Source organism: Homo sapiens, chromosome 14 (genome assembly GCF_000001405.40).
Source record: "Homo sapiens chromosome 14, GRCh38.p14 Primary Assembly".
Lineage (NCBI taxonomy): Eukaryota > Metazoa > Chordata > Mammalia > Primates > Hominidae > Homo > Homo sapiens.
Window position 1 is genome coordinate 53,390,471 of NC_000014.9, and position 13,715 is coordinate 53,404,185.

Consider the following 13,715-nt stretch of genomic DNA (forward strand, 5'->3'; position numbering starts at 1 on the left):
TTCCTCAATAGTTCATCTTTACAAAAAAGCTTTCCTTGACCTCTTAAAAAATGGCAGTGTTCTCATCCTAGGAAAATATATGACCTTTCCTTACATTATTGTTGTTTTTTTCATAACCCCATAGTATCATTGGATAAACTATATATTTTGATTTTTTTTTTTTTGCTGTCATCCTAGACTAGAATACAAACTCCATGAGAGTGGGAATTTTTTCTTTTTTTATTCTCTGCTTTATCTCTAGTGTCTGGCACATAGTAGGTGATCAATAGTCTTTTTTTTTGTTTGTTTGTTTTTTGGGTTTTTTTTTTAGACAGGATCTTGCTCTGTTGCCCAGGCTGGAGTGCAGTGGTGTGATCATAACTCACTGCAACCTCTAACTCCTGGGCTCAAGCAATCCTCCCACCTCAGCTTTCCAAGCACCTGGGACTGCAAGCGCATGTCATCATGCTTGCCTAATTTTAAAAATATTTTTAGTAGACATGAGGTGTTGCTATGTTATCCAGGCTGGTCTCAAACTCCTGTGCTCAAGCAGTCCTCCAGCCTCGGCTGGGATTAGAGGTGTCAGCCATCATGCCCAGCCAATAACTGTTCATTAAGTGAAAGAATGGATGAATGAATGAATGAGGGGAGAGGGATGGATTAGGGGTGGCCTGTGTGTCCATGTGGGAGTGCGAACTGGAAGGAAGGAGAATTTAAATTCTACATGTTAGGGCTTCCTAAGCCATCTCTTCCTCATAAGGAGATAAAAGTTCTGTCTTCATATGATTATTCTAAAAATTAAATGAGATAGCACATAGAAGCCTCTTAATTTAGGGACTCAGGCTATGTATACTCAGTCTTGGTTGCCCCTGTCATCCCGCCCACTGACAGCTGATGCCACAACAAAGCAATGTGCTGGAATGAGTCAGCTTCCAAAATGTTGGAAAACCTCCACGTGTCAGGGTGACCTTGAAAGTGGGAATTCATGCTCCCTTGTTGCATATTCCCCCCAGATGGTTAACAGAAGGGCAGAGACTCTTTCTGGTATCCCCCTGTCCCCTAAGGAATAGGTATGAAGAATAGTGGGTTTCCAAAAACACCTCACTGGTAAATAGAATCGATTTTTCTGTTTCCTATCTTTCTGGATCATACTTTTGCTGGCTTGAATGGGGGAGGTGACTGTGTAAGTTTAAAATGTTCCTTTAAGAATTCATTATATGCCAGAGAGTGAAGAAAGGATTAATTAAGCAAAGTAGAACTTGGAAGGTGATTTAACTGCAGTTAGTCATCATCTTTAACCTTGGCGTTTTCATTATGCTCAGGAACCACACTCCTCTGGATTACTTTGTCATGTGATGGCTCACTCCTCATGCAGCTATTCCTAACCCCAAAGGATAAGAGCAATTGACTCAGATCAGCATCAATGGGTGGCTTCCTTCCTTGGGAGAAGTACCTCGGGGGGTGAAGATGAATCGGATTGCAATCAAAACACAGAAAGGGAGAGATAGGGTGGAGTCGGAGAAGAGTCATTTCCTAATTTAAGTTGACTTTCTCTTACCTTTTTTTGTGGTTCTTGAGGATAGAGTTGAGACTGAGTCTTTTCCAAGACTTCAGGCCCCACTAGATGGCTTCTTCCTCTGCAGGCCTGGCCCCTTGCTGGAAACTCCCTTCCTGGCCTAGCTGTAGGGACACCAACTCTCCTGCTTACCCTCCAGCCCAAAGAGTGGCCATGACTTCTTACAATTGCTCATCTGGGGGAAGTTGCACTATTTGTTAGGATTCTCAGCTTTTTTCCTCTTTTTTTAATAATCTGTGAAACCAGTTCTCTGTACCAAATACACTTTTGTTTCAAAGATACAGAATGGCTTTTGTTTTCTGGACTGTACCCTCACTGGTCTGCTTAGCTAAAGCAACTTCTAAATTTTATAAATTACATATTATAAATTATCACATTGTTTTTGAGACTTTTTTCAATATATGAAGCTGAAAATATTGATGTGAGTCTGTATGGATGTATATACCTATCCAGTCATGGCTTTGTTTAATACTTATATACCACTCTGAATTTTCTGCAGGTGGATATTGGAACATGGAACATTGATTTTCCACTCATAGACCAAAAGCTCCTAGAGAATGTCTGAATAGTTTTTGACTTGATCTCCCTTTGTGTCATCAAATCTTTGCTACCAACTAGGGGTATGATTTTGGAATTTTATGTAACTTCTCTGTGCCTCAATTTATTATGCATCTGTAAAAGAAGAAATGTGTAATGGGTCATTTAAAAACTTAGCCTCAAAACTCCTTTTGTTTTTTTTTAAAAAAATCTGACCTGAGCCTCCACATGTAAAGTGGGACCTTCTAAGCTTGCCTCCCTGACCTCCAGATGACCTTCCTTGGTCTCCTACATTGACCTGAGTCACCACTGCCTAAACCTGGAGCACAAAGTGACTGGGTGCAGAGTGCTCACATTCTGCTCTGAAAGCTTTTGATTTTCAACTTCTTGAAGGAATCCAGCAATAATGACTGTTTTGCCAGAATTGTATTTCTCAGTTTTTTAACTAAGATGTAAACAAGCCCAACATTTTTAAACCTGTTTTTAGTTCTCTTAACTGGCTGTAGTGTGAAGGAGGGAAACCTCTGTTTCCTTGGAATACATAAGGTGTCATTAGAAAAAGTGCCAACAGGTAAGTATCTTACCATAAGTAAAAAAATTGGGCCTGCACTCATAAAAGGATGTTCACATTTCCGGCCGGGCGCGGTGGCTCATGCCTGTAATTCCAGCACTTTGAGAGGCCGAGGTGGGCGGCTCATGAGGTCAGGAGATCAAGACCATCCTGGCTAACATGGTGAAACCCCGTCTCTACTAAAAATATAAAAATTAGCCAGGCGTGGTGGTGCTTGTCTGTAGTCCCAGCTACTGAGGCAGGAGAATGGCTGAACCCAGGAGGTGGAGCTTGCAGTGAGCCAAGATAGTGCCACTGCACTCCAGCCTGGGCGATGGAGAAAGACTCTGTGTCAAAAAAAAAAAAAAACCAGGATGTTCACATTTCCTAAATGTAGTATCCTATGGATATAGCCATGGCTTGCCCTAGTGCCTGACCACAAGTCTGCTCCTCCTGCTCAGAGAACTTATTAGCCTCAACTCTGCTCTGCCTTAGATGCTGGAGCAATCCTGTCCTTGTTGGGATTTCCAGGGGCCCTAGCAAGATGCTCATAACTTAGCTTCAATATTGCTGGGGCTCTGACTTTGACTTTTCTCTCAGTTCAGTTGCATCCCTGACTCCAGGCTTCCCCTTAGCCTCGATAATGAAATAAAATTCACCTTGTTTCCGTGTGCCTGATTCCCATTCCTGATCACCTGTTGAGAATCCTAGTCCCACCAGGCCTGCCTTACCAATTTCTCCCCAGGATTGGGCACTACACTATTTCCTGTTCAAAGCCTTCTGTGATGATAATTACCTTTTTTTTTTTTTTTTTTTTTTTTTGAGACAGAGTCTCATTCTGTTGCCCAGGCTGGAGTGCAGTGGCATGATCTCAGCTCACTGCAACCTCCACCTCCTGGGTTCAAGCGATTCTCATGACCTCCTTTTTTTTTTTTTTTTTTTTTTTTTTTTTTAACAAATTGAAGGTTTATGGCACTTCTGTGTCAAGCAAGCATATCACCATCATTTTTCCAACAGTCTGTGCTCAATTCCTGTCTCTGTGCCACATTTAGTAATTCTTGCAAAATTTCAAACTTTTTCATTATTTTTACATCTATTATGGTGATGTGTGATATCGGGGAACCTGCCCCCAATATTTCACCATAGGTTCTTTCTATTTTCCCTAAGTGTCAGCCAGCTGAGTAATAAAGAGAAAGAGTACAAAGAGAGGAATTTTACAGTTGGGCCACCAGGGATGATATCACATATCGGGAGGACTGTGATGCCCACCTGAGCCGCAAAACCAGCATGTTTTTATTAAGGACTTTAAAAGGGGAGGGGGTGTATGAACAAGGAGTAGGTCACAAAGATCACATGCATCAAAGAGCAAAAAGGAGAACGAAGATCACATGCCAATAAAGATCACAAGGCAAAGGGCAAAGCAAAGATCACAAGGCAAAGGGCGAAATCAAAAACTCCTGATAAGGGTCTATGTTCAGCTATGCACGTATTGTCTTGATAAACATCTTAAACAACAGAAAACAGGGTTCAAGAGCAGAGAACTAGTCTGACCTCAAATTTACCAGGGTGGGGTTTCTTCCCCACCCTAATAAGCCTGAGGGTAGGCTTCCTCTCATTCCCCAAATTTTTCTTCAGTAACAATGATGGGATCTAAGTCCTGAACCACTTGGTTCCTATGGTTCTACTCCAGTTAAACCTTCCATGCCTAATCTGTGTCAGGGACTAGTATTTTACATAACACCATTTGCTTATTAGAAAATACAAAGTACAAATTCCTTTCCAGTTCCAAACTATCCAGTCTGTCTCTCACACCTGCCATTCTTCCGTTAAACATATGATGACAGAGTGCTATTAGAGGTTAATAAATAAATAGCACTTGGGAGCTTGCAATATAGTGGGGAAGAGATTCTAAATGGATAGACAATTGTAATACATTCTGATAATGATGTAAGTTGCTCTCGGAATACAGAATAAGAAGTCCAGACTCTGAGGGCTTCCGATAGTGGTGAGGGAAGGAGTAGTTCCAGGGAAAATCTAAGCAGGGGATTACACACATTAGAGGAAGGTCAAGTCAGTGGGTGTGGCTGTAGCACCAAAGTTAAGCTGAAAAGGTAGAAGATGATGGCCTTTTATGCCAGGTCAAGGAGTTGGATTCTGTTGTTCAGCAACTGGAGCTATGGGAGGGTTTGAAGTACAAACATACCTTGTCTTACTGCACTTTACTTTTTTCTTTGCAAATTTTGAGATAAACATCTTAAACAACAGAAAACAGGGTTCGAGAGCAGAGAACTAGTCTGACCTCAAATTTACCAGGTTGGGGTTTCTTCCCCACCCTGATAAGCCTGAGGATACTGCAGGAGAGCAGGGCGTATTTCAGTCCTTATCTCAACTGCATAAGACAGACACTCCCAGAGCGGCCATTTGTAGACCTCCCCCCAGGAATGCATTCCTTTCCCAGGGTCTTAATTATTAATATTCCTTGCTAGGAAAAGAATTCAGCGATATCTTCCCTACTTGCACATCTGTTTATAGGCTCTCTGCAAGAAGAAAAATATGGCTCTATTCTGCCCGACCCCACAGGCAGTCAGACCTTATGATTGTCTTCCCTCGTTCCCTGAAAATCATTGTTATTCTGTTCTTTTTCAAGGTGCACTGATTTCATACTGTTCAAACACACGTTTTACAATCAATTTGTACAGTTTAACACAATAGTGGTCCTGCTTACAAAGATAACAGGATTAAGAGATTAAAGATAGGCATAATAAATTATAAAAGTATTAATTTTGGGAACTGATAAATGTCCATATTAAAATGAAATCTTCACAATTTATGTTCAGAGAGTGAAGTAAAGACAGGCGTAAAAAATTATAAAAGTATTAATTTTGGGAACTGATATATGTCCATATTAAAATGAAGTCATCACAATTTATGTTCCTCTGCTGGGGCTCCAGCCAGTCCCTCCGTTTGGGGTCCCTGACTTCCCGCAACAGTGTGATTGATAATCTTTGATGTTACCATTGTAATTATTTTGGGGGAGCATGAACTGTACCCATATAAGATAGAGAATTTAATAAGTGTTGTATATGTTCTGACTGCTCCATAGACTGGACAATCCCCCATTTCTCTCCCTCTCCTCTGACCTTCCTCTCCCTGAGACACAGCAATATTGAAATTAGGCCAATTAATAACCCTACAGTGGCCTCTAAGTGTCCAAGTGAAAAGAAAAGTCACATGTCCCTCTCTTTACACTTGATCTTAGCCAAAAGGCAGAGAAATGATTACATGTCTCACTTTAAATCAAAAGCTATAAATGATTAAGCTTAGTGAGGAAGGCATGTCAAAAGCCAATAGAGGCTGAAAGCTGGACCTCTGGCACCAGTCAACCAAGTTGTGAGTGCAAAGGAAAAGCTCTTGAAGGAAATTAAAAATGTTATTCCAGTGAACACATGAGTGATAAGAAAGTGAAAAAACCTTGTTGATACAGAGAAAGTTTGAGTGGCCTGGATAGAAGGTCAAATGAGCCACAACATTCCTTTAATAGAAGCCTAATCCAGAGCAAGGTCCTAACTCTCTTCAATTCTGTGGTGGCTGAGAGAGATGAAGGAGCTACAGAAGAAGAGTTTGAAGCTAGTAGAGATGAGTTCATGCATTTTAAGAAAAGAAGCTGTTCTTTGTAACGTAAAAGTGCAAGGTGAAGCGGCACGTGCTGATGTAGATGCTGCAGCATGTTATACAGAAGATCTGGCTAAGATAACTGATGAAGGTGGCTACACTAAACAACAGATTTTCAATGTAGATGAAAATGTAGTTAGAGAGGAGAAATCAATCCTAGTTTCAAAGTTTCAGAGGACAGATTGACTTTCTTGTTAGGGGCTAATGCAGCTGCTGAGTTTAAGTTGAAACCAGTCCTCATTTACTATCCTGAAAATCCTGGGGCCTTTAAGAGTTATGCTAAATCTACTCTGTTTGTATTGTATAAATGGAACAACAAAGCCTAGATGGTCGGATATCTGTTTATAGCATGGTTTACTGAAAAAAAGGTTTCTTTCAAAATATTACTGCTCATTAGCAATGCACCTAGTGACTCAAGAGGTCTAGTGCAGATATACAAGAAGGTGAATGTTGTTTTCATGCCTACCAACACAACATCCATTTTGACTGTTAAGACTTATATTACTTAAGAAATACATTTAATAAGGCAATAGCTACCATAGATAGTGATTCCTCTGGGTGAATGTTGGCAGAGTAAATTGAAAATCTTCTGGAAAGGAGTCACCATTCTAGACGCCATTAAGGACATTTGCGATTCATGGGAAGAGGTCAAAATATCAACAGAAGTTTGGAAGAAGTTGATTTCAATCCTTATAGATGGCTTTGAGGGGTTCAAGTCTTCAGTGGCAGATGCAACTTCAGATGTGTTAGAAATAGCAGAGAGCTAGGATTAGAAGTTGAGCCCAAAGATGTAACTGAATTGGTGCAATCTTATGATAAAACTTTAAAAGATGAGGAGTTGCTTCTTGTAGATAAGCAAATAAAGTGGTTTATTGAGATGAAATCTACTCCTGGTAAAGATGCTGTGAACATCGTTGAAATGACAATAAAGGATTTAGAATATTACATAAACTTTGTTGATAAAGTAGCAGCAGGGTTTGAGAGGATTGACTCCAGTTTTGAAAGATGTTCCACTGTGGGTAAAATGATATCAAATAGCATCACACACTACATAGAAATCTTTTGTGAAAGGAAGAGTCAATCAAAGTGGCAAACTTCACTGTTGTTTTATTTTTAGAAATTGCCACAGCCACCCCAATCTTCACCAATCACCACCCTAATCAGTCAACAGACATCACTATTGAGGCAAGACCCTCCACCAGCAAAAAGATTACAACTTGAAGGCTCAAATGATCATTACTAATTTTTAGCAATGAAGTATTTTTTAGTTAAGGTACATACATTGTTACATTAAGTACATACATTAAGTACAATGTGTGTACTTAATAAGTGCACACATGTTAAGGTACATACACTTAAGTGCACACATATTAAGTGTGCAGTAGTATGTCTAAAGAAACAATGTGTGTACCACTTTTCTATGTACTGGGAACCAAAAATAATTCATGTGACTTACTTTATTACAATATTCGCTTTATTGTGGTGGTCTGGAACCAAAATGACAATATCTGAGGTATGCTTGTAATGAATTATCACAATCAGATTTGCATTTTAGAAAGGGTCTTTGGAGGAGGGCCTAAAAAGAGGCAAGATTGGATTAGGAAGACCGGTGGAGAAGCTCTAATGTAATAGTGGAGGCAAGAAATGGTAAGTGCTTAAACTAAAGTAATATCAGTAAAGATGGTCTGGGGTGGGAGCAGATTTGTAAAGTATTTGAGTTAGAATAGACGGGATTGGTGACCAGTTGGAAAGAGAAGTGGTGAAGGAGAGGGAACTGCTGAGGATAACTCCCAAGTTTCTGCTTTGTGAGTTGGATAAGAATGGGGACACCAATCCCTGAGATGGGGAGTGCAGAAGGATGTTGGGGGAAAATGGTGAGCTTTGATTTGGATATTTTATGTGAGAAGTGTTTGGGGGATGCCAGGTGGAGATGTTCCATCGACACTCCACAGTCTAAAAATCACATCCAGCTCAAGAAAGACTTCTTGGCTTGAGATTAATTTGGAAACCATAAATATATACAGATGGCCATAAATTCTGGAAACATAGATAATAACATTTTGTCATGTATTTTAATACAGTATCAATAAATCATTTCTTATGTATTCACCTATGTTTCCAGACTTTGCAGCCATCATTTATAAATTGGCTGGAGCCAGATAGAATACAGATCAGCCAGACAGAACGTATAAAGTGTGAAGAGAAAGGGATTGGATATAGAGTCTTGGGAACAACAATATTTATGGGACAAAGGCAAGTGAGAAGAAGCAGTGGAGATGGGGTGGGGTGGGGTGAGATTTAAAGTGCAGAGAAGGCTCACGAGGACAGCAATACTTCCGCTGAGATGGAAGGGAAAGTGGTGAGGATGAATAAGGATGTGCGGACGTCAGCCAACTTGCCATCAAAACTCCTTCAAACTTGCCCCCCGGTGGCCAAAATGATTACTTTCTCTAGAATGGTGGTTCGTAACCTTTGTAGGGTAACGAGCTCTTTGAGAATCTGGTAGAAGCCATGGACCATCTTTCACACATGAATAGTGAGAATGGAATGCTATGTAGGGGGGGTCAAAGACCCAAGCATCCTAGTTGAAGACTCTTTATATTTTGCAACCAGTTTCTTTCTGTAACTACTTCTACATAAGGAAGATCTTAGTTTCCACTGCTTCATTTTCAGCTGAGAAAGTGGAAGAAAAATAATCAATGTTATGCAGGAGCATAATGTCCATAAGCTTATGAGAGTCCAAATAATTTTTTTCCACTAGAGAATTTTTTTTCTTCCCTCTTTTTGTTTTCTCCTTTCCAATACCTTTAAACTTTTTTCTTAGCAGAAATTGGCTTCTACTTAATTCACATAGTGGTTGATTGTTGGTACCACAAATTGCATCAGCCTATAAGACTCAGCCTCAGAGTTTTCAGAAAATTTTAAAGATCATATTTTTTTTTCCCAGAGAACATTTGAAAGACTTTTTTTCCACAACAGGCATAACTCAATTTCCTTATATTAGTTCTTTTCATTTGACACTAATGATCATGTCTTTTAAATATTACCTAACTGGCTTTTCTTAACACTGTACGTGACTTTTTTGCCTCCTTCCACTTTTCATATTACTTGTAGGTTTCTGGTTGACAGCTGAGGGGATCTTCTAAGGCTCTTTCCTTAGCTCCCTGCTTTTGTTTATTTTTTATCCACTGCTTTTCATTCAGTTTATTCTAATAAATATTTATTGAGTGTGGACTATGTTTGATGCACTTACTCATTTTCACAACTGTAAAAATCCTTTCTTCATGGGGATTTATGCCTCCAACTTATGCTGCGAGCTCTGTCATGGTAGAGTTACACAATTTCCAGAGCAACCAATCATGTCCCTTTGAGATACATGGTTCTTTTTCCTCTGACTCTTACAATTTGATTCTTCCATATCAATCAGGGGGTCTCATTCATTTTCATTTTCTCAGCCTGGAAGTCTGGGATTTCTTCAATCTTCAATAATATCTGAAGAGAAAACAAAACAAATCATGAATCCTTAATTATGACTCTGCCGAAAATCCCACAATCTTGCTAGGTTCATAGGTTTAAAAGCAGTATTTTATTCTATCAGTTGATATTTATTTTCTCTTGTGTCTTTAGCGATTCCCCTTTTAGTACTGGTGTTGTTCTGCGTTCTATTATGTTTTTTGTATTGTTTCTCTTCCTCTTCCTTTCTTCCTTTTTGCACATTGTATTTGATGTTATTCTGTGCTGCTGGATCTCAAATTGCTCTTCTTATATGCTTTTGTATAAAAATATTTTATGTGTGGACTGTCCCCAATAGATGTCCATCTTTCTCCTCTTTTGCTCATAGCTCACATGTTGGTTATTTAATGTCATGCATTGGAATTCTCTAGACAGTATGTAGAATTTCTTTTTTATCCGACTGCTCTTCAATACCAGTTGGTTAAGCTTGGAAAATTTTAGATAGGAAAATTAAAAATCTCAGTGACATCTGGCTGCAGACCTGCTTGTCATGTACAAGTTTTACAAGTTTTTATAATGTTTACAAGTTTTATGTCACAAGTAAATTTCTCTTCCCCTTCGTTCTATGATTCTCACTCTTGAGTATGGCAAAGTTGAGGTCAGAATCACACTCTGGACCTTCTAGACCAAACAGATATCCTGGCAGAAAGCACACATATTATTGAGGTCCTATTCAGCATGTTAAGGGCTTGATATTCTCAAGAGGGGAGGCCTTGGAAAAGGTGATCAATAGTCAAGAGTCTGGTTCCATCATTCTGTTTGGCTTTTGGCTTTTCACTAAAACATTTTCTTCATGAGGGTATTTATCATAATACACATATGTTTTTAATGTATCAATCAGGAGGATGTGTGGTCTTGTTTGTTCTTGATTAAAAAGACTATGTCAAAAAAGAATTATTTCAAAGTTGCAGTAATAATTGGAGCAATAAGATGGTAAGGGGTAATTAAAGGATGCAGCTTTCTTTTAGAAACAAAAACAAATCTGGTGACCACATGTATTCTTCTTTTCTTCCTTAATGAATATGATGAAACATGTTATAGTGAGACTATGGACATTAGAGATACACCAAGTACGTGTTAACGTGTCGGATTTGAGCCCAGGTTCCCACATTAACTATACTCAGGAATTTGTAACTCATAACATTGTAAACTGACTGGTGATGTGTACATTTCATACCATTTTGTATCACGGTGATGCCTGGATGTAGTGGTATTGCTAGTGCCCATATCATCCCTTCTCCCTGCCCACCACACACACACATTGTAGATGAGAAGTATATTGCTTACCCTTCCCATTTTGAACTCTTGGACTACAAACCATAAATTACCCAGGTATTGCTCTTGAATTATTCCTCTTGAATTTAAAGGCTTTCTATTTCCGTGGAATTGGCTTGGAAAACTCAGACCAACTGAGAAGGAGAAATTGTCCTGGGACAAACTGTTTTTACTATATGTCATACTGTTTTCTTCTTCCTGTAAATATCTTGTTGGGCCTACTGACCAGCAAGGAAAACATAATCCAATGCTTGTGGTCAGTACTGAATGACTTGGCCCTACGTCTTTGTGTCTTTTAAGAACGGTCCAATGGGTCTGTCATAACACTTCAAACATCTGCTTCTCAGTCCTAGTTTATGCTTTATAAGCCAATTCCCATTGGTTTAAATAGTTTCTGTGCCTTTAATATGACTGTCTATATGGATTAATAGTAATGAACACAGTGATGTGGTGATAATGACAATTTTCTACTTAGAATTTGGTTAAATTCAATTGAACTTGATAAATGTTCTCTGAAGTCTAGGTTAAGAAAAATAGAGAAATGAATGTGGTAGTCTGGCAATCATCTTGCTCATGTCTGGCAATCATCTTGCTCATTGGGAAAATAAGATGTATAAACCAAAAAAAAAAAAAAAAAAAAAGAAAAACCAGGGGCTAGACATGATGGCTCACACCTGTAATCCCAGCACTTTGGGAGGCTCAGGTGGGCAGATCATTTGAGGTCAGGAGTTCAAGACCAGCCTGGACAACATGGTGAAACTCCATCTCTACTAAAATACAAAAATTAACCTGGCGTAGTGGCACGTGCCTATAGTCTCAGCTACTCAGGAGGCTGAGGCATAAGATTCACTTGAATACAGGAGGCAGAGGTTGCAGTGAGCCGAGATCGTGCCACTGGACTTCAGCCTTGGCTACAGAGTGAGAATCCGTCTCAAAAAAAAAAAAAAAGAAAAAAAAGAAAAAATCATACTCTGCATGTGGTATAGGAAATAAATTATATGAGAACAACAAGAATAGGTTGTAAGTATTTAGTAGGTTTGGATTCTTTCTGCAAGCCTTATAGGAAAGATTGGTGGTATATTGCCACCGCGCAGATGAGGAATGAATTAGGGGAACACTTATTCTTCAAAACAGAATGCTTTGCCTCCGACCAGTTACTTATGAGGCTACTAGTTACATTGTTTCTTGCTAAGTATTCTGCTAATTGACTACAGCATATTTTTAACTGTTTAAAATTTTTTTAATTTGAAAACTCATTTAAGAATTAATTGAGGCTAGCATATGCTTTCATTTGGGATATTTCAAGGTTAATTATCTGACTCATGGAGAATAAATTGCAACATTCTTTTTTATACACCCAGTGTTTGTACTATATTTTATTCTGAAGAGCTGAAAACACATCTATATCTGTTACCCCATTTAAAGCAGAGAGGTAGGCATTCCCTTTGAGCAGTCTAGAAATGCTCGTATTTTAGAAAACTAGGTTTCAAAATAACAGGGACACATTTGAGAAATGGTTAATGAAAATCAGGAATTAATACTTTGAGATCACAATGCACAATCAGGAGCAAAGCGTAGGCTTGGCCAGAGACAGATACAAATGGGATTGCAGCTGTAGTTTTTGTGTCTTTCATTTATACTAGGATCACATTTCTACTTCTGGTATCCCTTAAATCCCCTTGCTTTATAGACGTAATTTTGCAGCACCATCTCACCTCCATTTCTCCAGGCTTAATGTGCCTGTGGGCCCTGTTTTGTAGAAGTCACCAGTTAGCATCTGCCCCTCTAGCTATGTACAAATAGTTTTTAGAAGATGTTCTTGACTTCCAAATACGATTCAAATAGCATTCAATTTGAAATGGTTGCTGAATAATATAAACAATTGAAAGAAAAACCTAAAATCGAACTTGATGGGGAGCAAAATGATGTGTAAAAGTAGGTCTAATGGCACTTTAAAAACAAGTCAACAAAGGTAAGAAGATGTCAACTCTTTGTTCTGTGTCCCTCTACCCCCCTGTTACAGTCTCAGCCCTCAAGGTGTCACACAGCTATAGGGTTAGAAATCACTTAGACTGCCCCCATTCCAGGGTACCAGGAGATAATCTCTCCATTCAAGAAAATCAGCTAGTTTGTAGAACAGGTGAAGAAACATAGTTCATGAATGAATATCAACTTTACCCTGCTGATTTGTAGTACCCAAAACTTCTCAAACCCATGTGCTTCATCTTACATAACTATTTAATCCTCCACATCCCTCCCTCATTCATTCTCTAGGATATTCTTAATAGGAATTAAGGACGTGTGTTCTAAGACTTTAAATGTTGATTCTTTCAAAACTCATGCATCGCCGACTTCATTTATTTAGTTTTAAGTAAAGAACATCTTGATTATTCCCTCCAAAGTGTGAAGATGAAGGATGAAGAGTCATGTTGCTGGAGTGTAAAAATGAACAGAACTCAGGCTCTGATTTCAGATCTTGATATGAATTCAGGCTTTCTATGTTGATGTGCCCTTGGACAAGTTACTTAAACTCTCTGAACTCAGTTTTTCCATCTGTAAAATGGAGCTAACACACTACTTCGTAGAGATAAAGAAAAGCGAAGTATATTAGTG

General features: G+C 39.0%; 1 long non-coding RNA gene across 6 annotated transcripts in view, besides 1 other annotated feature; it reads left to right on the forward strand.

The window, feature by feature from the left end:
• Positions 1 to 13,715, forward strand: part of LOC105370504 (uncharacterized) — a 402,142-nt gene that overhangs the window by 69,819 nt on the left and 318,608 nt on the right. The gene's annotated exons all lie outside the window — the stretch shown is intronic.
• Positions 1,031 to 2,230: an enhancer, noted in NCBI's record as "CDK7 strongly-dependent group 2 enhancer chr14:53858219-53859418 (GRCh37/hg19 assembly coordinates)". NCBI's record gives its function as "activates an origin of replication core promoter dependent on BRD2, BRD4, P300/CBP, MED14 and CDK7 cofactors, with strong dependence on CDK7, by STARR-seq in HCT116 cells {active_cell/tissue: HCT116}" and the evidence as "EXISTENCE:reporter gene assay evidence [ECO:0000049][PMID:35650434]".